General features: G+C 38.9%; 1 protein-coding gene and 1 pseudogene across 2 annotated transcripts in view, besides 7 other annotated features; both read left to right on the forward strand.

Annotated features, from left to right (window-relative positions):
• The window catches only part of AKAP13 (A-kinase anchoring protein 13), a 368756-nt gene that overhangs the window by 31823 nt on the left and 309577 nt on the right, over positions 1–27356 (forward strand). The window lies entirely within an intron of this gene.
• Positions 217–718: an enhancer, noted in NCBI's record as "H3K27ac hESC enhancer chr15:85955873-85956374 (GRCh37/hg19 assembly coordinates)". NCBI's record gives its function as "activates a minimal SCP1, AML or CMV promoter by ChIP-STARR-seq in naive H9 embryonic stem cells {active_cell/tissue: H9 hESC(naive)}" and the evidence as "EXISTENCE:reporter gene assay evidence [ECO:0000049][PMID:30033119]".
• Positions 217–1871: a biological region, named in NCBI's record as "BRD4-independent group 4 enhancer GRCh37_chr15:85956328-85957527".
• Positions 672–1871: an enhancer, noted in NCBI's record as "BRD4-independent group 4 enhancer chr15:85956328-85957527 (GRCh37/hg19 assembly coordinates)". NCBI's record gives its function as "activates an origin of replication core promoter dependent on BRD2, P300/CBP, MED14 and CDK7 cofactors, and independent of BRD4, by STARR-seq in HCT116 cells {active_cell/tissue: HCT116}" and the evidence as "EXISTENCE:reporter gene assay evidence [ECO:0000049][PMID:35650434]".
• Positions 719–1218: an enhancer, noted in NCBI's record as "H3K27ac hESC enhancer chr15:85956375-85956874 (GRCh37/hg19 assembly coordinates)". NCBI's record gives its function as "activates a minimal SCP1, AML or CMV promoter by ChIP-STARR-seq in naive H9 embryonic stem cells {active_cell/tissue: H9 hESC(naive)}" and the evidence as "EXISTENCE:reporter gene assay evidence [ECO:0000049][PMID:30033119]".
• Positions 1093–1387: an enhancer, noted in NCBI's record as "tiled region #6429; HepG2 Activating DNase unmatched - State 5:Enh, and K562 Activating non-DNase unmatched - State 22:ReprW". NCBI's record gives its function as "activates a minimal TATA promoter and a strong SV40 promoter by Sharpr-MPRA in HepG2 and K562 cells {active_cell/tissue: HepG2 | K562}" and the evidence as "EXISTENCE:reporter gene assay evidence [ECO:0000049][PMID:27701403]".
• Positions 2727–3226: an enhancer, noted in NCBI's record as "H3K4me1 hESC enhancer chr15:85958383-85958882 (GRCh37/hg19 assembly coordinates)". NCBI's record gives its function as "activates a minimal SCP1, AML or CMV promoter by ChIP-STARR-seq in naive H9 embryonic stem cells {active_cell/tissue: H9 hESC(naive)}" and the evidence as "EXISTENCE:reporter gene assay evidence [ECO:0000049][PMID:30033119]".
• On the forward strand, positions 2742–3418 carry FABP5P9 (fatty acid binding protein 5 pseudogene 9; annotated as a pseudogene).
• Positions 21657–22461: an enhancer, noted in NCBI's record as "OCT4-NANOG-H3K27ac-H3K4me1 hESC enhancer chr15:85977313-85978117 (GRCh37/hg19 assembly coordinates)". NCBI's record gives its function as "activates a minimal SCP1, AML or CMV promoter by ChIP-STARR-seq in primed H9 embryonic stem cells {active_cell/tissue: H9 hESC(primed)}" and the evidence as "EXISTENCE:reporter gene assay evidence [ECO:0000049][PMID:30033119]".

The following is a 27356-nucleotide window of genomic DNA, read 5'->3' on the forward strand; positions in this document are numbered from 1 at the left end:
CCAGACATTAAAGAGATTTGCCAAAATGTAAAACAGTGCCACGTTCTTATTTTTGTTTTGTTTTGGAAAACATAGTTATTTTTCATAAAAGTATGTTTATTTGTAATGAGTTCATGGAATTTTAAAATGAAGTAATATTTTATAAATTTTTCAGTTTTAATTTCTAATACAATAAAGTACCAATAAATATAACCCACATAACAAAAGCTCTTTGGGATTCTCAGTTTTTAAGAGTAAAAAGGAGGGAGCTCAGGCAACCAAGAACTTTCAAACCACTGATTATAGCTTACAATGGATTGAAATAAGCTGATCCTCATGAAATACTTTAGTTTCTTATTTGAAAATCTTTATAGAAACAACACAGAGGAAAATAATTAGTATCTGCTTTCATAATGCTGAGTTATATTTATTGGGCACTTAATATGTGCCTGACACTGCACTGAACACCGTACCTATATTATCTCCTCTAACCTTTATCTTATCCTGCAACGTATATATTACCTTAGTTTTACAAATCAGGGGGCTAAGGCACTGGCGGGTCAAGTAATTGGCCCAAGCTTATTTAAGAGGTAAGTAGTAGAGCTAAGTTTTAGACTTAGTTTAAGTTGAAATTGAAAGCCTGCGCTTTTCATCAGGATGTTCTGCTGCCTCACAGAAAAGTTTGTAAGTCGGCACTGTGTCCGCACTGCTAATTGATCCTTAGGGAAAAGTGCAGAATGCTGTTGTCTGAAGATTGTTGATGCAAGGTTGAGCAGTGGCTGAAGATCCTGCGCATGTTTTCTTTTTATCCCAGGTCACGTAGTCTTGTACTGTTTTGTGGAGCTGGATCTTTAGAAGGTGGTTCTTTCAGAACTTCAGAACAGACCGTAACTGGAAGACTGTGGGCTTAGTTTCTTATGGTTACTAGTAGTTAGTATGTGAATCTAGCTCAAGGTTGGAGAGATTTTTCAGGATGGCTGTAGTTCAGTTGTCGTTGCTTATGCTAGTTCTTTCATTTCATTCAGGGGTATAGAAACTTTAGATTGTCTGAAAATGTTATTTTCAGGAGTTTTCCCATTGGGAGACAAGGAAGTGGGGATGGAGTTGAAGTCAGGTGAAGGTGAAGAGAATAGCACCATTGCCCTGACCCCTGGCTTTTGGGTTATTGTGCTGCAAGCATCAGGTGACTGAAAAAGCAAACATGAAAGTAGAGATTCAGAGAGGGGAAGTGACTCAACCCAGGCACCCTGCACAGGAACATGTGTCATCACGGTTTCAGCTCCGGACGGTGAGATCGCAGTGTGTTCTCAGGCCCTTGTTAGGATTCTTAGCACAATAGTTGTTTCTGCTTGGTGGGTTTGTTGATTGAGAGCGCCTCAGAAGCATTTATATTCACAGTATCCCACGTGCCCTACTAACTCAACTTTATATTACATAGACAGCTACTTTAAAATTGTCTTGGTACATGTATTTTGAAATTTATATGAACAGCTTTATTTACATTATCCATTATACTCCTCTATTAAAGAATATATGTATATTTTAATTATACTTTTTTATACTCATTCAACTTTCATTGTTTTCTCCAACCTTTTTTACCACCTCAGTGGAAATGGAAATGAGAGTACCTGTTATAGCCTGAAAAGCAGAGGAAAAAAGGTGTAACTCTTTTTAAGGTTTTTCGTCATGTTTAACTTATGTGTTATTCCCAGATTTTTCTCCGATGTTCATACTGTCTCTTGAAACCAGTCTTCCTTTTTTTCAGCACTATTGTGGCCTGTGTATAATTGGTACTTGTCTTTCAGATTTGTATTCTGTAAACAGGCTTTGACGGGGCAAATTTAAACTGTTGTAAAGATTGCCTATTCATTTCTAATACATGTTTTGTGGTAGAATTGAATTGCTGATTGTGTGAAGGGTTTTTGAAAATGAGGGACAAACAAAATGAGAACTTATGAATAGTAGCACAGTAAAAAAAAATCCAAGAGGAATAAGACCACCGTGCTTTCTTTTTTCACTTCTGAACTAGTCAATAGCTTTGTATTCTGGTGATAATTAACAAGGTTTCTATACATACACAAAAATGAGGGGTAGTGAGATTTAGATGATGATATAGAGAATGAAGATGGGAAAAAATCCTCTTGGTATTAATACATATGGTATAGGTACAGAGTGTTCCTTTATGTGTATAATTTGAAAAGGGTGAGGGAGCTCCAAAATAAGATAAGGAAGTTGGTAGACTACATGTTTTGTTAATTCTTATGTTAGAGTGCCTTCTCCTGGTGTGGATGCATTTCTAAGATGAATAGTTAATTTGTTCTTGTTTCTTTTTCAAAGTCTCTTTGAGCAAATGACAAATTGAGATGTCCTAGCTTTAAGGAGAGACCATTGACATTTGCCTAATGCCTTCTCTTGTCTTAGGCTTTGCCTTGTATTAAAGAAGTATATGACTGGATGTGACTAAAATGGTCTGGGAGGAGGGTTAGTATTCTGTTTTCTAAAATGGATTCTGGGATTGTTATATGCAATTGGTGCTTTAGGATGGGAGAAAATCACCTAAGTGTAACTTCAGAATGTGAGAAAGTGTGACCTGTCAACTGTTTTGGTTGGGTTTTCTATGTTGGAGTGGTTTGTTTCTTAAATTTTGCTCTCAGGTTTGGGGTGGTAGTGAAGTTACTCTGAAAATTCATAATTTTTCTATAATTAGTAACAGCATCCCAGGAGTTTCAGAGGGAAATACCTTTAAAAAAAAATGAGATGTGACAGCACGCTGCCACGCCGACGCAGACCCCGCTCTGCACGCCAGCTCGCCCGCACCCCTCATGGCCACAGTTCAGCAGCTGGAAGGAAGATGGCGCCTGGTGGACAGCAGAGGCTTTGATGAATATGTGAAGGAGCTAGGAGTGGGAATAGCTTTGCGAAAAATGGACACAATAGCCAAGCCAGATTGTATCATCACTTGTGATGGCAAAAACCTCACCATAAAAACCGAGAGCACTTTGAAAACAACACAGTTTTCTTGTACCCTGGGAGAGAAGTTTGAAGAAACCACAGCTGATGGCAGAAAAACTCAGACTGTGTGCAACTTTACAGATGGTGCATTGGTTCAACATCAGGAGTGGGATGGGAAGGAAAACACAATAAGAAGAAAATTGAAAGATGGGAAATTAGTGGTGGACTGTGTCATGAACAGTGTCACCTGTACTCGGATCTATGAAAAAGTAGAATAAAAATTCCATCATCACTTTGGACAGGAGTTAACTAAGAGAATGACCAAGCTCAGTTCAATGAGCAAATCTCCATACCGTTTCTTTTTTTTTTTTTTTCATTACTGTGTTCAATTATCTTTATCCCAAACATTTTACATACAGCTATTTCAAAGTGTGTTGGATTAATTAGGATCATCCCTTTGGTTAATAAATAAATGTGTTTGTGCTAATAAAAAAAATGAGATGTGTATATTGATGATTATCTTTTAAAAAATAATGGGAGGTTTATGAGAGAGCTGGTGCACTTAAAGCCTGGTGGTTCAGTACGCATAACCCCTAGAGCTCAGTTTTCATGGATCAAGGCAGATTTGTAAATAGAAGAATAATGAGTCAGTATGGTAAATGTCAATGGGAAGATTCGAATGAAGTGAGATGGGAGCACAGAAGGATGGAGCAACTATATTTGCTTTGAGGAGTCAAGGAGGGAAGGACATTCTAAAATTTTGAGAGCATTAAAGAATAGGTTACTCTTTTATAATTGTAGAGTTTATTGTACTATGTATTTGCATAAATGGACACATAATATTTAGTTAAATACCTCTATTCATTGTGCAGTTTATGTTTAGCACTGTGCCAGGTTCTTGGGGAAGGAGTTAAAAAATAAAAGATGTCCTGTTTCAGTACTTTCTTGGGAGTGGGGCTACTATGTGAACAGCTTGAGTAACATTTTGTTCAAGACTCAGTTGTGGGTAGCCAGGTACTGTGGTGGACTGGTGCTTTTGTTAAGTCTGGTTTTTTTCCTCCCTGCTGGTAAGCCACTTTAGAAATGATCAGTTTCATTAATGTAAAGTCATATTTTATACCTCTACGCACTAATTCCCGTGGACATGACTGGTAGCTACGATAATTTTTGGGACTCCAGTGGTCAATGAGTATGTCTCAGGTACTTAATTTCTTCCATGGCTAACTAGTTTTTAGTGGGCAAAAGGAAATTTGAGAGAAGCTGCATAATTTGCTTTAACTTGCAGGGTGTGTTAAGTATTGAATCACATCTATTATGATTATGGAATTTTGGTGTGTGTTTGAATGTCAGAGATAGTGTTAAGGTCAGAATTCTGCTGAAAACTGACCCATCTGAAAACCAGTATGTTCACTCCATTCCACTCTTCAGCAAGGCCATAGTTTCCCTATCATGGTTCATTTCTCCTTTTCCCTGCCCATTAAAGGTAGCAAATTTTGGAGGTTCTTACACATTTGGGGTTCTTAAAATTGTTCTGTAATGTGTAAGCTCGGCTGTCCACAAATGATTATAGGATTGACATTTGTTATTTGGTGGAGTTTGATATATTAGAGTAATATAAATGTGTTATGCTTCAAAATGAAATACGGGATTTTTATTCACTAGTTTGTCTTTGTTTCATTCCTTTCCAAAAGAAAATTAATGCTTAACTTGAACAGCTGATTTTTTGCATTGTTTCCCTTAAAAGCTTGCTAGCATAGGAACAAAAGGTAACTTTTTTCTTTGCCTTTTATTGTTTTCTGATTGTTTGATATTAAGTTTTGGATTGATATTAGAAATATTAATAGTTTATCCTAGGCAGGAGCCAGCTTTCTTTAATATGTGCCAGATGAGCTTCCAGTAGTTTTTAGACTTTGAGATTTTAGAAACCTCATTTTCAGGGATGGGTGACTTCACTGCTTTTTCTTTGTCTTAATTTAAAATTGGTATGTATGACCAAAGGAATCTTTCTGATACTCACTGGTCCTTTTTGGTGGAATCGAAATAGCGTATGAGCAATGGGCGTTTAAGTTAGAAAATATTCGTTTATGTAAAAATTAACCAGAAATTACTGGAATGTAGTATTGGTCAAGGTTGTAGAGTCAAGTTAATCAGTATGATTAATGGGTATTAGGAATGGAAATGTTGCAATGTAATGACAAGTCATGAATTGTTAAAAGAACAATCTGTTGTTAGCCCATTGATAAACTTTGTGAGATACTTATTTGAGAGCAAAGTTTGAAATCTTTCTTTTGCCGATTAAACATGACTGTCATTTTGCCATTTTCTGCTGTATTCCAACCATTACGTTCTAAGTGCTCATTTATCCTCACCAGGAGCCAGTGAAGAAGGCGACATTATTCTAGTTTTACAGATGGAGAAATGCAGCTTATGTATTAAGCAGCTGATCAGGCAGCACAAAACCAAGGAAGTTATTAGTACTGGTAATTGAACCTAGATTTGTCTGGCTCCAGTCCAGTACTGTCCAGTAGAAGTATAATATCAGCCACTAGGTAATTTAAAATTTCCTAGTTGCTACATTAAAGGAGAAGTTTATTTTAATATTTTAATTCAATATATAAAAGTTCATTTTGACGTAATTATAAAATTGAGATATTTTACATTTTTACATTCTTTTTGTACCATCTTCATTATTTATTATTATTATTATTATCATTATTATTATTATTATTATTATTCTGAGATAGGGTCTGTCCCTGTTGCCCAGGCTGGAGTGCAGTGGCAGGATCATAGGTCACTGCAGTCTCAATCTCCTGGGCTCAAGGGACCCTCCTGCCTCAGCCTCCCGAGTAGCTGGGACTACAGGCGTGCGCCACCATGCCTGTCTAATTATTTTATATTTTGTTTTGTATAGACAGGGTCTCACTTTGTTGCCCAGGCAGGTCTCTAACTCCTGGGCTTCAGACGATCTTCCCATCTTGGCCTCCCAAAGTGCTGGGATTACAGGGGTGAGCCACCATGCCTGGCCTTTTGTACCATCTTCAAAGTCAGTGTGTGTATTTTAGATGTATAGCACATCTCAGTTCAGGCTGGCCACATTTCTTCAAGTTGAAATGTGGCTAACCCAAATTGAGATGTGGCTGGTGGCTCTATAATGGGATTGTGTAGCCCTGATACCTGTGCAGTGGCCAGTACTATAAGCGGTAAAGAAACCAAGACTTCGGTTTTGCATGTTGTTGAATTATTTAAGCTTGTAGCATATAATTATAGCCACTAGTTTAATAAAATCAGTCATGACAAAAAGTGATAAAGTAGCCTTGTCATAATGCAAATATTTGGTTGTCTTTCCCATATTTACAATTTTTACTTCTCTGAACAGGAGATGATGTAGGTTAAAATAAAATATTTAAGTAGCATTTAAAAGGCAAATAATTGCATTTAGTCTAGAGATAAGGAATCAATCGCATAGTTATCATTAATAATAAAGACCACAAGTGGCTAAGACCACTTTAACCACAAAAAGGAGACAGTTGAAATATTGTACATGGGTTTAAGTATAGATAATTAAATTCAGCAGTCTGCTTATAGTACCTGCTGTGTGCTGGGCATTGTTTAGATGTTCAGATGTTAAAATAAGAAATGGATTCTGTGCTCAAGGATGCCACCCTTAAGGGTTTAATTAGAGCCATTATTTCCAGAACCATTAATTAGAACCATTATTTCCAGAAAAATTTGGTGGTGATGGGAAGAGTCTTTGTATATTTTTGAACATTCCACAGTGGACACTGTTTGCTTTAAGTATAATCTTTGTATCATATCATCATAGGATTTGTAAAATTTTCAAACTTCTTTGCAAGTACTTTGCAAACTTCTTTGTATGCATTAAAAGAATGCGTGGTTCTGAGAGATTTAATTATGGCAGCCTCAGGGCCACTTTATAAAATGCTCTCCTTTTGATACTCTGTGAGTTGCCATTATGTTGCCCCATTTCTATTCCTGGTAAAGACTCACCGATCATACTGATGAACTTGATCTGCATTTTGGACTGAGCTTAGTCATACAAGTAACGTGGCCGCTGATACATTGTGTATCATTCTGGAAAACAATTGTATGTCACTGTTGACCCGGATATTTTTATGTATAGGATTGCTTAGTTGCAAGATAGATGAAAATATAGTTGCCTAATCATTTAAGAGTGAAAGATTCTTGGTATTCTAGTTTTTGGGTTGAGGAGGGAGAATAAAAAATTTTCCAAGTTTAGTGAGTTTTTTTGTTGGGGGATGGAGAGGGAATGTAGAGAGATGGTTAACCAGTATTTATGTCTCATTTCAAAATAATGACAGCTTTTTTTAAAAAGCTTGAAAGATAGTATATGCCTTTTGTCAGTAATCAACATATGTATGTAATCTATTCTGTTGATAAATGTCAATATCTAAGGATAAGTAGGGCACAGAGAAGGGAAATTGTGTACCTCATTTTCTCTGTAAGGCTGTAAAGAGTGAAGAGGGTGAGAGAAAGAAGGCACACCTTTCATATTCATCTGTCATTTCTAGAAGGCTTAAGTGTCTGAATCTGACTCTTGTTTTTTTTTTTTTTTTTTTTTTTTGAGACGGAGTCTCGCTCTGTTGCCCAGGCTGGAGTGCAGTGGCGGGATCTCAGCTCACTGCAAGCTCCGCCTCCCGGGTTCACACCATTCTCCTGCCTCAGCCTCCCAAGTAGCTGGGACTACAGGCGCCCGCCACTACGCCCGGCTAATTTTTTGTATTTTTAGTAGAGACGGGGTTTCACCGCTTTAGCCGGGATGGTCTCGATCTCCTGACCTCGTGATCCGCCCGCCTCGGCCTCCCAAAGTGCTGGGATTACAGGCGTGAGCCACCGCGCCCGGCCTTTTTTTTTTTAATCTGACTCTTTTAACAGTATTCTGATAGAGCAGCGATGGCTTCAAGACGTAGACTGTTGTCACTTCTTTTGTCTGCTGAGCTGCAAAACAGCTTCTTGGGATATCTGGCCCATGACTTTGGATAGGATTGATGGCTTCCCTAGCCCAGTCTGTTCATTCATCTTTGGAGTTGATTTCTTATCTTTCCTGCTTGAAAAGAATGGATGCAGGGTATGGTATGATTCTGATTATGTTTTTATTCAATATGAAGCAATTAGTTGACCATACCATGAGACAGAAAAGACAAATACTCATTGAAAGTTGATACTTAAAACTCTTACCCTAATTGGGATTAGGAGGAAGAGTACTTTATTTCACCAGAGAATAATGCCAGAAAATTTTGCTAAGGGTAAAAGTGTGGGGACCATTTTCGAAGGAGGTCAAGAGCTAGCTATTTTATGTAAGGGAAATTATCTGAATGGGATGGAATTATAAGGAAAGGAAGCTGAAATATTGAAAGAGAATTTCCCCCAATATTTTCTTAAATGTGGGCTATTACTTTTTCATTGGAAAAAATTTAAAAGGACTACATTAAAAATGAGAATACTTAACAGGCTGAAGTAGGAGGATTGCTTAAGTCCAGGAGTTTGAGGCCAGACTGGGCAACATGGCAAGACCGTGTCTCTCTAAAAAAAAAATCGGAATTCTGCATTTTAAGGAGTGTGGTTCATTCCTAGTTATAGATTAGGACAGTTGAATTATGTGAAGGTCTGAGAACTATTTCCAATATATAGACTTTTATTAAACAAAGGTATAGATGGATGATGACTTAGAAATGCAGGCGGTGATTTTGTTTCATGCCTAGTTTCTCAAGTTTTAGAAAATGGTGACAGTCTCAGAGAAAACAAGCAACTATTTTGTGAAATCTCCAGGTGTCAAAACAGTCCAAGGCACATATAATTAGAATAAATTAAGGGAGAATGTTGCTTTAGAGTTCTTGTGGTGCACTAGTCATTCTTAAAGGGTGAGCAAGGCAAAAACTAAAAATAGATGGAAGCTTATCTGCACATTTGAACTTGTGGAACAGCTGGAGTGGGTCTCTTACTCCCTTACTCTTCCTAACTGAATAATTCTCCCTCTCTGGTTATTTGCTGTATTGAGAAAGTCTTCACTGGCTCTCCTGGCGTTTTTGAGAAGGATATTAAAGGGGCTTGAATTAGAGCACAGGAAGTGGAATAAATGGCAGGAAACATTTGATCATTTCTGTCACTGTCAGAATGAAAGCCCAATATTTGATTTGAGAGGTTGCAGGACAGTAGCAAATGTTTTGATGGGTTTGTGTGTGCGCGTGTGCGCGCGCGCCTGTGCACACTCTCAACTTTGTATCTTTTTTTTTCTTTGCCCTTCTCTCTAATATTCACTCTTGTCCAGATTTTCATAATATAATTGGAAGAAGCAAAGGCCCTTCCTCCTCTGTTAATGAGTTACAATCTTTCACAGGTCCAAGAAAGGCGACAGAAGGGACTTTCTACTTTGTAGACTTATTATTGTTTTTCATTTTCTACTAAAAGTTTATTTTCCCATGTGCTGTTTTTCGGTGTGTATGCATTGTTAACTGCATTTCCACCATGTTGCATAAGGAACATTTGCAATTTGGTTTATAATGTCACCATTCGTGCTCCATAAGGGAGGTCTATACTCTATCTCTCATATATCCAGTACCTAAAACTCACTGCCTGGCACTTAAGTAGGTGCTTCAGTATATGTCAGCATTCCAAAGGTCTTTGTTACTGTAAATAGAGCATTGATGTGAATAGTACAGATGATGGTGGGCTCTATCATGATCTCTCTTGGCAGGGATTTATCCAGAGTCATTTGAATAATTACCATGTACCAACTAGTATGTCTGGTCCTGGGTATGTACGTATTTAGGACCTTTAGAGAGCTTATATGTTGGTAGGAGAGGACATACTAGGAAACCAACAATTACAGTATGGGGGTGCTGTTACGAGATTTGAGGTGTGCATTAGAGAGCAGAGAGGAAGGCTACCTGACCCAGTTTAGAGTGAGTTGAGAGAATTAGGGGATTGTTTCATGAAGGAGATGATGGTTACATGATCATGTTCTGTAAGATGAGGAAGAGTTAGCAGGGAAAAGGGGAGGAAAGGCTTGGAGCCCTGAGAAAACTTTGTCCTTATGTTGGGGAAGTACTCTGTTCAGTTTTCAAGTTATGCACCATTTTGACTAATCTTTAAGGAAGTAATGTAATTGGTTAGTTTGGACTTTTCTCATAATTTGAACAGAGGTTTTTTGTTTTGTTTTAATAATGGAGCAGTTTAAGAAAGAACTTACCTTGTTTACCCTACCCTAACCAAACCAAACCAAATGAGGTGTTGCATCCTTCTCTGTGCATACCTGCATATGATTTTAAATTAGGAAAGAAAAACCAATCCAACTCTCTTGTGAATAGGAGTTGCTGTTAGTGTACAGTTTCTTATTTTGGCAGCAAACCCATCTCAGCAATGCAGATGTTCTGCAGTAAAATAGGTGACTTATTAATATGATATTTTCTGGTTGTGAAAAACAGTTGCATGGCCAGTATAGAAGTGACCTATTTGAATATAGTACAATATTAATCTGCAGGCATGCTTCAGAGATATTGTGGGTTTGGTTTCAGACTACTGGAATAAAGTGAACATTGCGATAAAGCAAGTCACACATGTTTTTTGTTTCCCGGTGCATATGTTTTGTTTATACTATGCTGTAGTCTAGTAAGTGTGTGATAGCATTGCATCTAAAACTGTACATCCCTTAATTGAAAAATATTGCTAAAAAATGCTAACAATCATGTGAACCTTCAACAAGTCGTGATCTTTTTGCTGGATGGTCTTGCCTTGATGTGGATGGCTGCTAACTGATCAGGTGGTGGTTGCTGAGGATTGGAGCAGCTTAGGCAATTTCTTAAAATAAGACAACAGTGAAGTTTGCTGCATTGATTGACTCTCCTTGACAAAAGATTTCTTTGTAACATGTGATGCTGTTGGATAGCATTTTGCCCACAGTAGAAACTCATTTCAAAATTGGAGTCACTCCTCTCCAACCCTGCTGCTAGTTGATCAACTAACTTTATGTAATACTGTAAATCCTTTGTTGTCATTTCAACAATGCACAGCATCTGCACCAAGAGTAGATTCCATGTCTAGAAGCCACTTTCTTTGCTCATTCCTTAAGAAGCAACCTGCCATCTGTTCAAGTTTTATCATGAGATTGCAGGAATTCAGTCATATCTTCAGGCTCCACTTCCAATTCTAATTCTCTTGCTGTTTCCACCACATGTCCAGTGACTTCTCCCATTGAAGTCTGGAACCCCTCCAAGTCATCCATCAGGGCTGGAATCAGCTTCTTCCAAAACTCCTGTTAATGTTGATATTTTGATGTTCTCCCCTGAATTGTGAATGTTCTTAATGGCATCTAGAATGGTGAATCCTTTGCAGAAGGTTTTCAGTTGGCTTTGCCCAGATTCATCAGAGGATGGATGGCAGGTCTAGGATTATGAAATTAGTTTCTTAAATCATAAGACTTGAAAGTCAAACTTACTTCTGGGTCAGTGGGCTGAAGAAAGCAAGTGTGTTAGCAGGCATGAAAACAACATTAACCTCCTTGTTCATCTCCATCATAGCTCTTGGGTGACCCAGGTGCATTGTGAGTGAGCAGGAGTCTTTTTTTTCTGGGCAGTAGGTCACAACAGTGACCTTAAAATATTAAACCATGCTATAAACAGATGTTCTGTCCAGGCTTTGTTCTAGTTACGGAAACACAGAGTAGACTTAGCATAATTCTTATGGGCTCTAGAATTTTTAGAATGGTAAGTGAGCATTGGCTTCAACTTAAAGTCATCAGCTGCATTAGCCCCTAACAAGAGAGTCAGCTTGTCCTTTGAGGTTTTGAAGCCAGGCTTTGACTTTCCCTCTCTAGCTATGGAAGTCCTAGATGGTGTCTTCTTCCAGTATAAGGCTGTTTTGTCTACATTGAAAATCTGTTGTTTAGTGTAGCTACTTTCATCATTTGTCTAGATTGTCTGGATAACTTCCTGCAGCTTCTGTGTCAGCACTTGCTTGTTTGTAGTGCACTTTTATGTTATGGAGATAGCTTCTTGTCCTTAAACCTCATGAACCAATGCTCTGCTAGCTTGCTAGCTTTTCTTCTGCAGCTTCTTCACCTGTCTCAGCCTTCATAGAACTGAAGAGATTATTTAGGGCCTTACTCTGGATTGGCCTTTGGTTTAAGGGAACGTTGTGGCTGGCTTGATCTTCTATCCAGACCACTCAAGCTTTCATATTGTTAATTTGTTAATAGTAATAAGGCTATTGTGCTTTCTTATTATTTATGTGCTCACTGGAATAACACTTGTAATTTCCCGCAAGAACTGTTCCTTTGCATTCACAACTTGGCTGTTTGTTGCAAGAGGCCTAGCTTTCTGCCTGTCTCAGCTTTTGACATGCCTTCCTTGCTAACCTTAATTATTTCTAGCTTTTGAGTTAAAGTGAGAGATGTGTGATTCTTCCTTTCACTTGAACACTTAGAAGCCATCATGGGGTTATTCATTGGTCTCATTTCAATATTACTGTGTCTCAGGGAATAGGGAGACTCAAGAAGAGGGAGAGAGATGGGGTAGCAGCAAGTTGGTGGAGCAGTTAGAACATACACAACATTTATTTAGTTTGCTGTCTTCTGTGGGCACAGTTGGTGGTGCCCTAAAACAATTACAATAGTAAAATAAAAAACATAAAAGATCAATGATCACAGATTACCATAACAGATATAATAATGAAGATGTTCGAAATATTGTGAGCATTACCAAAACGTGACACAGAGGCATGAAGTGAGCCACATGTGTTTTGGAAAAATGGTGCTGATAGACTTGCTTGATGTAGGGTTGCCACAGACCTTCAATTTGTTAAAAATCTCTATCTTTGAAGTGTAATAAAGTGAAATGCATTAAAATGAGATATGCCTGTATTCAGGTTTATTATTTATTTTTATTGAGATTACCTTTTTGTTATGTATAAAAAGCCTGGTTTTAAATTACAGTTTTCTAGGTGTGTTTATATAAGATAAAGCCTTTTGGTTCTTGGAAAACAGTTTTGGGAATGTCAAACTAATTTTTTCATTTTAAGATTCCTCTAAGAACTTATACTAGAGGCTGGTCCTGGTGGCTCACACCTGTAATCCCAGCACTTTGGGAGGCCAAGGTGGGCAGATCACTTGAGGTCAGGAGTTCAAGACTAGCCTGGCCAACATGGTGAAACCTCTTCTCTACCAAAAATATAAAAAATCAGCCGATGTGGTGGCACGTGCCTGTAATCCCATCTACTCGGGAGGCTGAGGCAGGAGAATCACTTGAACCCAGGAGGTGGACATTGCAGTGAGTTGAGATTGTGCCACTGCACTCCAGCCTGGGCGACAGAGTGAGACTCTGTCTCAAAAAAAAAAAAAAAAAAGAACTTACCTCAGTTAGGACTTAATTATCCTCTTTGCATTACTGTGGGAGTTAGGGCAAGACTTTTTTGAAAGTACTGTTGTTAATTGTGGGGTAGATAAATTTCCTTGAGCAGATGAGGTTTTTGGTTTTTAAAAATAGCCCAAAAGATACTCAGAAACAAGATCGGTTTAAAAAAAAAAAGAGTCATTATCAGATTGCGAAGTATTTGTTTTATGTGAAGAGAGAAAATAAGAGACATCTATAAAGTAATGCCTTTCTAATGCTATTTTTGAAGATTCTTGTGAAAAAGAAGCTCCAAAAATACTTGAGCAATGGCAGTATTGGTGAAGGACTAATTCATCCAGACGAACTTTGTATAGGATAATCCTTGGTTCATTCTATAATATCCAGTTTTGGCTCTTAATCAGGATTCATGTTATGGAAATCTTCTTTAAAATATTTTATATTGGTTTAGTCATTAATACTAATGGGTCCCTCACTTAGTCTAAATGTAAGGTGTCACTGTATTACGAGACCTTGAATTAATAAGCCAAGTGCTAATTAGGAAAGTTGACAAAGAAGCAGTGTTCAGCCACTGGGGCAAGAACTCAGTCATCTCCCATTGTGCGAGTGAGCCTTTACTGTTTAGTGGGCTCTGTGATTACTGTCTAGGATCATCTAAAACAAAAATAGGTAGAAATCTAAGAGAATGAGTTTGTGTGTATGCAGATTCACCTGAATATTGAGGTAGCACAGTCTGTGGATAAGTTTTTGTTTTTTTGTTTTTTTTTGGGTTATAACTGACAATTGCGCATATTTAAAGTGTATTTTCACATGTGGTCTTATAAAGAAAACCAAATGATCATAAAAATGTAAATGAGAGAAAATATTCTTAGTTCTCAGTGTCATTCAGGAAAAACTTGTTGGAAGATGGTATGTGATAGTTGTTGAGGTTTATTTGTCTAGCACAGTTTCTACTCAGTTACTTTGTCATTTAAGATCCTAAGTACAGAGAGATTCTAGCCACTACCCTATCTCTCTGTCTGCAATGTTTTTTAAAAGACAGTGCAGTGCAATGTATTTTCTGATGATATCCTTTCCTTCATAAACATCTCTAAAGAATTATTTCCATGTAATTCTTGTGGCCATCATTGGTATGTAGTTGTGTTGACTAGAGATTTTAAGTTGTATGTGTCTGAAGTACTGTTTCCACACAACCTCCTTAGTATTGTTTTGTTTTGTTTTTTTTTTTTTTTTTGGGGACGGAGTCTCACACTGTCACCGGGGCTGGAGTGCAGTGGCGCCATCTCGGCTCACTGCAAACTCTACCTCCTGGGTTCACGCCATTCTCCTGCCTCAGCCTCCCGAATAGCTGGGACTACAGGCGCCCACCACCACGCCCGGCTAATTTTTTGTATTTTTAGTAGAGACGGGGTTTCACCGTGTTAGCTAGGACGGTCTCGATCTCATGTCCTTGTGATCCGCCCGCCTCGGCCTCCCAAAGTGCTGGGATTACAAGCGTGAGCCACCGCGCCCGGCCTTAGTATTGTTTTCTGGTTTATAAGAATTGAAACCTTGCTCTTAATTTGTCCAGGTCTTCTGCCTGTATTCTGCTTTCATGGGAATAAACAACACTAGTTACTAGAAATTTTGAGATTTTTTTTTCTCCTTCCTTCTCCTAGTACATGATGTTTTGAGAGGCCTGTGTAATCCTAAACGCTTGATAGAGCACTTTTATGATGGGAGTATGAGTAGTATGCAAGTCTATCGACTCCTCTAGGCAAGTTTGTAGTTGTGTGTGTGTGCGCACACACACGCTTTAAAAGTAAAACATTAACCATGTATGTTTGGTAAATGCTAGACTGTAGTTTTAAAACTGGAAGAAACCGTTGAAAGTATCTTGTCAAATTTGTTCATTTTATTGATGAGGAATTTGAGGGCCAAAGAGGCAACTCTGATGAGGCCAATTATAGAATTAATTCTAAGGACCTGCATTTGGGTCTACAAAACCAGTTATGGAAATATAGATGAAGGAAGTCTTGGTTTAAGTGGAGCTTTTAGTTGACCATAATAAGCTTATGTTAGTCATAAGTGACATGGCTGTCAGAGTTGCTAAGTTGATCTTGAATTACAATAATAAAAGTATGTCAAAACAAGGAGAAAGGGGTAGCCTGTTAGAGAAGGCAACAACAGCAGAATATTTGAAGTATCAAATGTGGTTAGTCCTGGATCACCAGTTTTCAGAGGAACATTGATGAACTGGAGCTTACTGTCCAACTTACACTCCTGAGAACTATTTGAAACCAGAATCTCCCACCAGGTTCTCCAGGTACTCACTGTACCTGACTTCAAGTGTTCTTCCTGGCCACATGAACAAGTCTGGTTTTTTGCCTGTTTTTCTTAATGTAATTCTCTTGCTTTTCCTCCTGTATAAAGATCACAGTGACACCTTTACTTTCCTAGGCATGATCAGGCCATGGTACCTTTATTGACTGATTGATTGAGACAGAGTTTTGCTCTTGTTGCCCAGGCTGGAGTGCAATGGTGCGATCTTGGCTCACCGCAACCTCCGCCTCCTGGGTTCAAGTGATTCTCCTGCCTCAGCCTCCCAAGCAGCTGGGATTACAGGCATGCGCCACCACACCTGGCTAATTTTGTATTTTTAATAGAGGTGGGGTTTCTCCATGTTGGTCAGGCTGGTCTCAAACCCTCCACCTTAGGTGATCTGCCTGCCTCGGCCTCCCAAAGTGCTGGGATTACAGGCATGAGCCACCTCGCCTGGCCTTACCCTTATTTAAAGCTGTGAAGGCTGGAAGCTGTTTCCCAGACTTCTTGCCAAGTTTGGCCTGAAGCCTCAGAATACATTTTCTCCTTGTTTTTCAAAGTGGCTGGGGGTTTAAATGATCATTTGTGGGTTTGTACCCATGCTACTAATGTCTTGTTTCTAACAAGGACATATAAAATTTCTTGGCCTTACACTCACGTTTGGCTTTCTGGTGATCTTGCATATCAGAGATGGTAGCTGTCGGTAGTGCTGTGGGTTGTCTACAGGAAAAACAAAAATACCCCTGAGAAAGCACACAGTTAAAAATGGTATTGGAATGACCATCCACTACTTTTCTACCAGATAATCATTATTTTCATTATCTTACCTTCTGAGTTTCCACCTGGAGAGGAAGGGAACTAATCTTTATTGAACACTTAAGATGTGCCAGACAATGAACAAGTGCTTTACAATGTAGATTTTGTTTTTCCTTACCTTATAGTGGTGTTCTTACCCCACTTACAGATGAAGAAACTGTGGTACATGCATAAAGTAATGTTATATAGCTAGTGAAGCTGGAATTCGAATTCAAAATCTTGACTGAAAAGATCTTGTTTGACTTTTATGACCACAAAAGACAAATGATATTACTCTCTTATTTAGAATGGCCTAACTACTACCATTTTTCTACCTAATTATTTACTTTTACACCTCTTGGGCCCCCTATCTGTTTTCCCTGGCATATTTTCTTGAGTTCTTAATTATCTTGAGTTCCTAATTTGGAATCATGTATTACTTCTAGCAGTTTTCTCAGATAATCTCCTTTCATTTCTCTCGTGCAAGACTAATGGTCCATCTGGGAGCTGTTTTTCAGGGTAGGGAAGAGTCAGAGAGAGGCCTGACTACCTCTGTGCAGCAAGGGAAGCGATTCCCTAAACTATTTCTTAAAATTCTATCTTGATTGGACTAATTTTCTGTATTAGTTGAATATCTACTATAGTACTCTTTGTTGACATGATTTGGTCCTAGGTGCCTAAGAAAATAGTAACCTCCCTCTGGCCTTCAGGAAATTTAGGATTCGGTTTGGGAGTTAAAGTGTGCACATAATTGGTGAGTATGATAAGTGCCACAAGGCCATAGTTCAACCAGCCAACCAACCAGCCAACCAAAAACCAAACCATTGGCTGTTCAGAGTGGGGAAGAGAGCACAAATCTGCATAGTTATAACAGGGAGGCTATTCTCAGTCCTGGCTCTGGATGAGAATATCCTGGCGAGATTTTAATTCAGTAGGTGTAGGGTGGCGCAGGAATCTGTGATGCTGATATGCACTGGGATTTATGCTATCAAGGATAATCTTTTATTTCTTTAGTTCTCCAAAGCATGTTTGTTTTTATCTTTTGAATATTCCCTTGCATTTTCCCCTGCACTTTACTCTGAAGTGGGAATAATGGAACTTGGGTGCCTGTTGGCTGATTCACCATGTTTAGTTAGTAGATCTGTGAATGTAATCTTTAATGGATTTAGGCAGAATGTCCAATGTGGAAGTAAATTCAGTCTGTCTTGGAATTAATTGTAGAATGTAGTAAAGTAGCCTTCATTTATTTGCATATCTTTTGGACTAAACTTCTGTATTTAATAGAATGCCTCGTCATATTCTGTAAAGTCTCATTAATATGGAGCCTGTAATTTAAATCTGTATTTTGGAGGCACACTGAGGTAAAGTTTACCCTTAATAAGGGCACCATTGTTTACTATAATGGGCTAATTACATGTCTTAATCATTGTAGCAGGTTGAATACAACCTCTTCTTGGCAGTGTTTTACTGGCTCCTACTTTCAAGTTATTTTCTGCCTTATAGTAGTAAAAATTTAGTTAGTTAACTTGTCTTTCCTAAGCATTTAGAAATTAGTTGAAGTTGTAAACACTGTTAGCTGAATAGAAATAAGCTGACACTTTCTCTTCAATTGTAGAGAGAGATTATGTGACTTAATCTTCCCATCAGGGGGATGTGAGTGATTGGAATGCTAGTGGCTGGCGGTGGGTTTGTTTCTTAAAGGCTATATGTTGTACTTCACTGAACCACCTGTACAGCTAAGCTGTCTTGAAGTTTTAGTCATTCCTACTCTTGTGGTTGGAGTGATACTGTGGGTCTTGGTAGCGTTTCTGCCTTTTGTTCTAACATGTCAGACAGTTACTCTTTGGCCTTCTTCATTCTTATCCTAATTGTGTATAACAACTAGCATTTGAATACCTACCATATACGGGGCGTCATGCTTGCTGGCCTTATGTACATTGGCCTAATATTTATAATACCTGTGTGAGTAGTGCTGTTGTTATCCACATTTTGCAGGTGAAAAAGCAAGGCTTTGAGGGTTTAAATACTTGTACTAGGTCAAAGAGCTAACAAATGAAAAGATCCCACATTCAAATCCACACATGCTTTTAGAACCTGTGTTTTTAGCTTTTATCTGTTGCCCCAGGACCAGGCCAGATCATCATCATCACTTTTCTCTTTTCCTTATCAAGTTGGTAAGCGGCTGTAGGTTGTTCTGGTGATAATGAGAGATAAAGGTCATAGTTAGTGCATAATCAGTTAGCATTTTAAAAATAATCGCTGCTGCATTGTGATTCCAGAGAATGGAATAACCATAAATGTATTACTTCTCAGACATTCACAGTGATGGTGTACAGGATCATGCTCACTCTAGGGCAAGCAACATTATAACATTGTTTAGAAGCCTGATTTGCTATAAATTGAGGAACAAGGTGTATCAGGAAAATCTAAAATATCCCTTTGATTATCCCAGTACAGTGATTACGAACTTAAGGCTGGGAGCTGAACTCTTTACATTCATACCTTAGCTCTTCCAGCTCTGTAACTCTAGGCAAATTATTTATGCTCCCCACACCTCAGTTTTCTCATGTGTAAAACAAGGGTAGTGGTAGTACATTCTTTAAAGAGATTTTATAAGGATGAATTAAGACAATGTGAAGAACTTAGCAGAGTGTCTTATATATACCAAGCTTCAAATATTGCTTTACTATCTTGAGTTAATAGGAAAATCAAAGAGGTATTAAATGGAGAGTGGATATAAAAGCTTTGAGGTGAAGGAGTGGTCAGGTGATGAGGTGCTGGTTACCTTGCCCCTTAGTGTTTAGCTGATTTGTGTTGGTGGTCCTAAAGTCAACTCTTCCCAGCTTTTAGGTAGTAACTTCAAGATGTAAGTAAAAATCCTAAATTCTGAAATATTTTAAAACATTTTAAAGTGGTTTACATTTTACAATATTCTTGCTTGTAGGCAATATGAAACTCAATTAGATGGTAAAAAAATGATTACCAGATTCTTTAGCAGATCAACTCTACGATATAATCTGAAAGATAGAGTTGTGTGCTTACGTGTTTTTATTTATTTGGAGAGGTTCAGGCGAAAGAAATGTCAACAGTGGTACAGTTACGTACCCAAATGAAGAGTTGCTGTAGTTGTGCAGATCTGGGATTTGGTGTATGAAAAAGATGCCTAATTTCATTGGGAGGCTGTTTAGATGAGAGGCACTTTCCAACACTGGGATTCTATTTTTTTGGGTGTTGAATGTTACATACCAGATTAGTTCTCATTTCTTTTTTTTTAGAAGAATACGTATTTTAGTCTAAGAACAATGGAAAATAGCTTTCTCTTTTAGCTATTTCAACTCAATTCTAACCTCATTCCTAACTTAGCCTAACTCTATAGTTTATTTTGGCTGCAAAATCCTGCCCACTTTATCTTCTATAAAAATGTATTTTTCCTTCAATGAGGGGAAAAATGCAAGCTAACATATTTATTTTGGATTATCTTTTTACCCCATTATTTTCCTAATGAGCTCTGTTCATGCCTCTCTGCAAATCTTAAAAAAAAAAAAGTCGATTCAGTTTGAGGATAGCTGAAACATTTTTTATGCAGAAAGTGGTTTGTAAAATACGGGAGAATTCTACTGAATTCCCTCTTAGAGCATCATTCAGTAGTAGCTTACTGGTGATAAAGATTACTATTGATGTCTTTACTATTCTGGGAAAGTTTTAAAGTTTACAAGGAGAATGTTAGAATTCAGTATATAAACCAGGAAAAACTTTACTTTGTTATCTGAAAAAGACCTAAGTGGATATAAGGCCTCATTATACCACTCAATTTTCATTCACTTCGCAAAATTGACTTTTATGAAGCTAATATAATACAAGGTGAAAAAAATGGTCCATGATCCTGGCAGTGTTGCTATGGACTAATTTCCATCACTTTGAGTCATATTACTATAAAAGGGCAGAAAACACTGGGGGAGGCTCTTAGCAGATTTCTAACTACTTTGTTTACTTTGGTTGATAGGGAGTTTGCTGTCATATTTTTGAAAGGTGGTGGTGGTGGGATTGTCTGCTATCTCCTTTCTCTGCCACCTCCCAGGTATATAGGTGATGGTTACAATTTGGAAAATATAGAAAGAAAAAAAAATATACACCCCATTACCTTGAGATACTTAACATTTTAGTTTTCTTCTTGCTTTTTTCTCTTTCTTACATGGTTTTAAAAATAGTTTTTAAAATATTAAATCATATACCATTATTTTCTCCTTTTTCCCCCCTTTAACACTGTGTTCCCTTCTGTACAGTTTTTTTTTTTTTTTTTTTTTTTTGGAGTACTGTTTTTAAGGGATAGCATCATTTTGTTCTTTGGAGCTATCCCATTTAACCAGTTCTCTGTTGTTAGACAGCAACGTCCCCCCTCCAAAACAACTTTTCCTCTCAATTCCAACATTATTTCCTTATGATAAAGTAAAATTACTGGATTAAAGTTTGAACGTTTTCAAGTATCTTCATATATAAATGTGTTAAATTTTATCCAAAATGCTTGTGACCACTTCTTATTTCATTCCCATCATCTAAGTATGGGAGCACTTGTTTCTCCACGTCTTTGTCGGTAGTGGGCATTTTCGCTTTCCTACACTTTTTCTTCGATTTCTAGGTGGAAGATGATACCACCTCACATTCAGTGATACTTAGAAATGCTGTGAATGCCTAGTCAGTCCACAAACTCCTTAGCCTTTGTTTTTTGGTTTAAACCCAATTCTGGGGACTTCCTGATCATCCCTTCTTGGTATTAGCTAAGCTTCCTAAACACATGGATGTTTGTGTAAGATTAGTATGGTTTCATTAAAACCAGGTTGTCAGCCAGATGTGGTGGCTCACGCTTGTAATCCCAGCACTTTGGGAGGCTGAAGTGGGTGGATCACCGAGACCAGCCTGACCAACATGGTGAAACCCCTCTCTACTAAAAATATAAAAATTAGTTGGGCATGGTGGCGCGTGCCTGTAATCCCAGCTACTCGGGAGGCTGAGGCAGGAGAATCACTTGAACCCGGGAGTTGGAGGTTGCGGTGAGCCGAGATTGTGCCATTGCACTCCAGCCTGGGTGACAGAGCGAGACTCTGTCTCAAAAAATAAAAAAATAAAAAATAGGGAGGAGCCAAGATGGCCGAATAGGAACAGCTCCGGTCTACAGCTCCCAGCGTGAGCGACGCAGAAGACGGGTGATTTCTGCATTTCCATCTGAGGTACCAGGTTTATCTCACTAGGGAGTGCCAGACGGCGCAGGCCAGTGGGTGCGCGCACCGTGCGCGAGCCGAAGCAGGGCGAGGCATTGCCTCACTTGGGAAGTGCAAGGGGTCAGGGAGTTCCCTTTCCGAGTCAAAGAAAGGGGTGACGGACGCACCTGGAAAATCGGGTCACTCCCACCCGAATATTGCGCTTTTCAGACCGGCTTAAAAAACGGCGAACCACGAGATTATATCCCACACCTGGCTCGGAGGGTCCTACGCCCACGGAATCTCGCTGACTGCTAGCACAGCAGTCTGAAATCAAACTGCAAGGCGGCAGCGAGGCTGGGGGAGGGGCGCCCGCCATTGCCCAGGCTTGATTAGGTAAACAAAGCAGCCGGGAAGCTCGAACTGGGTGGAGCCCACCACAGCTCAAGAAGGCCTGCCTGCCTCTGTAGGCTCCACCTCTGGGGGCAGGGCACAGACAAACAAAAAGACAGCAGTAACCTCTGCAGACTTAAGTGTCCCTGTCTGACAGCTTTGAAGAGAGCAGTGGTTCTCCCAGCACGCAGCTGGAGATCTGAGAACCGGCAGACTGCCTCCTCAAGTGGGTCCCTGACCCCTGACCCCCGAGCAGCCTAACTGGGAGGTACCCCCCAGCAGGGGCACACTGACACCTCACACGGCAGGGTATTCTAACAGACCTGCAGCTGAGGGTCCTGTCTGTTAGAAGGAAAACTAACAAACAGAAAGGACATCCACACCGAAAACCCATCTGTACATCACCATCATCAAAGACCAAAAGTAGATAAAACCACAAAGATGGGGAAAAAACAGAACAGAAAAACTGGAAACTCTAAAATGCAGAGCGCCTCTCCTCCTCCAAAGGAACGCAGTTCCTCACCAGCAACGGAACAAAGCTGGATGGAGAATGACTTTGACGAGCTGAGAGAAGAAGGCTTCAGACAATCAAATTACTCTGAGCTACGGGAGGACATTCAAACCAAAGGCAAAGAAGTTGAAAACTTTGAAAAAAATTTAGAAGAATGTATAACTAGAATAACCAATACAGAGAAGTGCTTAAAGGAGCTGATGGAGCTGAAAACCAAGGCTCGAGAACTACGTGAAGAATGCAGAAGCCTCAGGAGCCGATGCGATCAACTGGAAGAAAGGGTATCAGCAATGGAAGATGAATGAAATGAAGCGAGAAGGGAAGTTTAGAGAAAAAAGAATAAAAAGAAATGAGCAAAGCCTCCAAGAAATATGGGACTATGTGAAAAGACCAAATCTACGTCTGATTGGTGTACCTGAAAGTGAAGGGGAGAATGGAACCAAGTTGGAAAACACTCTGCAGGATATTATCCAGGAGAACTTCCCCAATCTAGCAAGGCAGGCCAACGTTCAGATTCAGGAAATACAGAGAATGCCACAAAGATACTCCTCGAGAAGAGCAACTCCAAGACACATAATTGTCAGATTCACCAAAGTTGAAATGAAGGAAAAAATGTTAAGGGCAGCCAGAGAGAAAGGTCGGGTTACCCTCAAAGGGAAGCCCATCAGACTAACAGCGGATCTCTCGGCAGAAACCCTACAAGCCAGAAGAGAGTGGGGGCCAATATTCAACATTCTTAAAGAAAAGAATTTTCAACCCAGAATTTCATATCCAGCCAAACTAAGCTTCATAAGTGAAGGAGAAATAAAATACTTCACAGACAAGCAAATGCTGAGAGATTTTGTCACCACCAGGCCTGCCCTAAAAGAGCTCCTGAAGGAAGCGCTAAACGTGGAAAGGAACAACTGGTACCAGCCGCTGCAAAATCATGCCAAAATGTAAAGACCATCGAGACTAGGAAGAAACTGCATCAACTAACGAGCAAAATCACCAGCTAACATCATAATGACAGGATCAAATTCACACATAACAATATTAACTTTAAATGTAAATGGACTAAATGCTTCAATTAAAAGACACAGACTGGCAAATTGGATAAAGAGTCAAGACCCATCAGTGTGCTGTATTCAGGAAACCCATCTCACATGCAGAGACACACATAGGCTCAAAATAAAAGGATGGAGGAAGATCTACCAAGCAAATGGAAAACAAAAAAAGGCAGGGGTTGCAATCCTAGTCTCTGATAAAACAGACTTTAAACCAACAAAGATCAAAAGAGACAAAGAAGGCCATTACATAATGGTAAAGGGATCAATTCAACAAGAAGAGCTAACTATCCTAAATATATATGCACCCAATACAGGAGCACCCAGATTCATAAAGCAAGTCCTGAGTGACCTACAAAGAGACTTAGACTCCCACACATTAATAATGGGAGACTTTAACACCCCACTGTCAACATTAGACAGATCAGCGAGACAGAAAGTCAACAAGGATACCCAGGAATTGAACTCAGCTCTGCACCAAGCGGACCTAATAGACATCTACAGAACTCTCCACCCCAAATCAACAGAATATACATTTTTTTCAGCACCACACCCCACCTATTCCAAAATTGACCACATAGTTGGAAGTAAAGCTCTCCTCAGCAAATGTAAAAGAACAGAAATTATAACAAACTATCTCTCAGACCACAGTGCAATCAAACTAGAACTCAGGATTAAGAATCTCACTCAAAGCCGCTCAACTACATGGAAACTGAACAACCTGCTCCTGAATGACTACTGGGTACATAACGAAATGAAGGCAGAAATAAAAATGTTCTTTGAAACCAACGAGAACGAAGACACAACATACCAGAATCTCTGGGACGCATTCAAAGCAGTGTGTAGAGGGAAATTTATAGCACTAAATGCCCACAAGAGAAAGCAGGAAAGATCCAAAATTGACACCCTAACATCACAATTAAAAGAACTAGAGAAAAGCAAGAGCAAACACATTCAAAAGCTAGCAGAAGGCAAGAAATAACTAAAATCAGAGCAGAACTGAAGGAAATAGAGACACAAAAAACCCTTCAAAAAATCAATGAATCCAGGAGCTGGTTTTTTGAAAGGATCAACAAAATTGATAGACCACTAGCAAGACTAATAAAGAAAAAAAGAGAGAAGAATCAAATAGACACAATAAAAAATGATAAAGGGGATATCACCACCGATCCCACAGAAATACAAACTACCATCAGAGAATACTACAAACACCTCTACGCAAATAAACTAGAAAATCTAGAAGAAATGGATAAATTCCTCAACACATACACTCTCCCAAGACTAAACCAGGAAGAAGTTGAATCTCTGAATAGACCAATAACAGGAGCTGAAATTATGGCAATAATCAATAGTTTACCAACCAAAAAGAGTCCAGGACCAGATGGATTCACAGCTGAATTCTACCAGAGACACAAGGAGGAACTGGTACCATTCCTTCTGAAACTATTCCAATCAATAGAAAAAGAGGGAATCCTCCCTAACTCATTTTATGAGGCCAGCATCATTCTGATACCAAAGCCGGGCAGAGACACAACCAAAAAAGAGAATTTTAGACCAATATCCTTGATGAACATTGATGCAAAAATCCTCAATAAAATACTGGCAAAACGAATCCAGCAGCACATCAAAAAGCTTATCCGCCATGATCAAGTGGGCTTCATCCCGGGATGCAAGGCTGGTTCAATATACGCAAATCAATAAATGTAATCCAGCATATAAACAGAGCCAAAGACAAAAACCACATGGTTATCTCAATAGATGCAGAAAAAGCCTTTGGCAAAATTCAACCCTTCATGCTAAAAACTCTCAATAAATTAGGTATTGATGGGATGTATTTCAAAATAATAAGAGCTATCTATGACAGACCCACAGCCAATATCATACTGAATGGGCAAAAACTGGAAGCATTCCCTTTGAAAACTGGCACAAGACAGGGATGCCCTCTCTCACCACTCCTATTCAACATAGTGTTGGAAGTTCTGGCCAGGGCAATTAGGCAGGAGAAGGAAATAAAGGGTATTCAATTAGGAAAAGAGGAAGTCAAATTGTCCCTGTTTGCAGATGACATGATTGTATATCTAGAAAACCCCATTGTCTCAGCCCAAAATCTCCTTAAGCTGATAAGCAACTTCAGCAAAGTCTCAGGATACAAAATCAATGTACAAAAATCACAAGCATTCTCATACACCAACAACAGACAAACAGAGAGCCAAATCATGAGTGAACTCCCATTCACAATTGCTTCAAAGAGAATAAAATACCTAGGAATCCAACTTAAAAGGGATGTGAAGGACCTCTTCAAGGAGAACTACAAACCACTGCTCAAGGAAATAAAAGAGGATACAAACAAATGGAAGAACATTCCATGCTCATGGGTAGGAAGAATCAATATCGTGAAAATGGCCATACTTCCCAAGGTAATTTACAGATTCAACTCCATCCCCATAAAGCTACCAATGACTTTCTTCACAGAATTGGAAAAAACTACTTTAAAGTTCATATGGAACCAAAAAAGAGCCTGCATCGCCAAGTCAATCCTAAGCCAAAAGAACAAAGCTGGAGGCATCACACTACCTGACTTCAAACTATACTACAAGGCTACAGTAACCAAAACAGCATGGTACTGGTACCAAAACAGAGATATAGATCAATGGAACAGAACAGAGCCCTCAGAAATAACGCCGCATATATACAACTATCTGATCTTTGACAAACCTGAGAAAAACAAGCAATGGGGAAAGGATTCCCTATTTAATAAATGGTGCTGGGAAAACTGGCTAGCCATATGTAGAAAGCTGAAATTGAATCCCTTCCTTACACCTTATACAAAAATCAATTCAAGATGGATTAAAGATTTAAACGTTAGACCTAAAACCATAAAAACCCTAGAAGAAAACCTAGGCATTACCATTCAGGACATAGGCATGGGCAAGGACTTCATGTCCAAAACACCAAAAGCAATGGCAACAAAAGCCAAAATTGACAAATGGGATCTAATTAAACTAAAGAGCTTCTGCACAGCAAAAGAAACTACCATCAGAGTGAACAGGCAACCTACAAAATGGGAGAAAATTTTCGCAACCTACTCATCTGACAAAGGGCTAATATCCAGAATCTACAATGAACTCAAACAAATTTACAAGAAAAAAAATAAACAGCTCCATCAAAAAGTGGGCGAAGGACATGAACAGACACTTCTCAAAAGAAGACATTTATGCAGCCAAAAAACACATGAAAAAATGCTCATCATCACTGGCCATCAGAGAAATGCAAATCAAAACCACAATGAGATACCATCTCACACCAGTTAGAATGGCAATCATTAAAAAGTCAGGAAACAACAGGTGCTGGAGAGGATGTGGAGAAATAGGAACACTTTTACACTGTTGGTGGGACTGTAAACTAGTTCAACCATTGTGGATGTCAGTGTGGCGATTCCTCAAGGATCTAGAACTAGAAATACCATTTGACCCAGCCATCCCATTACTGGGTATATACCCAAATGACTATAAATCATGCTGCTGTAAAGACACATGCACACGTATGTTTATTGCGGCATTATTCACAATAGCAAAGACTTGGAACCAACCCAAATGTCCAACAATGATAGACTGGATTAAGAAAATGTGGCACATATACACCATGGAATACTATGCAGCCATAAAAAATGATGAGTTCATGTCCTTTGTAGGGACATGGATGAAATTGGAAATCATCATTCTCAGTAAACTATCGCAAGAACAAAAAACCAAACACCGCATATTCTCACTCATAGGTGGGAATTGAACAGTGAGATCACATG

This window comes from Homo sapiens, chromosome 15, assembly GCF_000001405.40.
Source record: "Homo sapiens chromosome 15, GRCh38.p14 Primary Assembly".
Classification (NCBI taxonomy): Eukaryota; Metazoa; Chordata; class Mammalia; order Primates; family Hominidae; genus Homo; species Homo sapiens.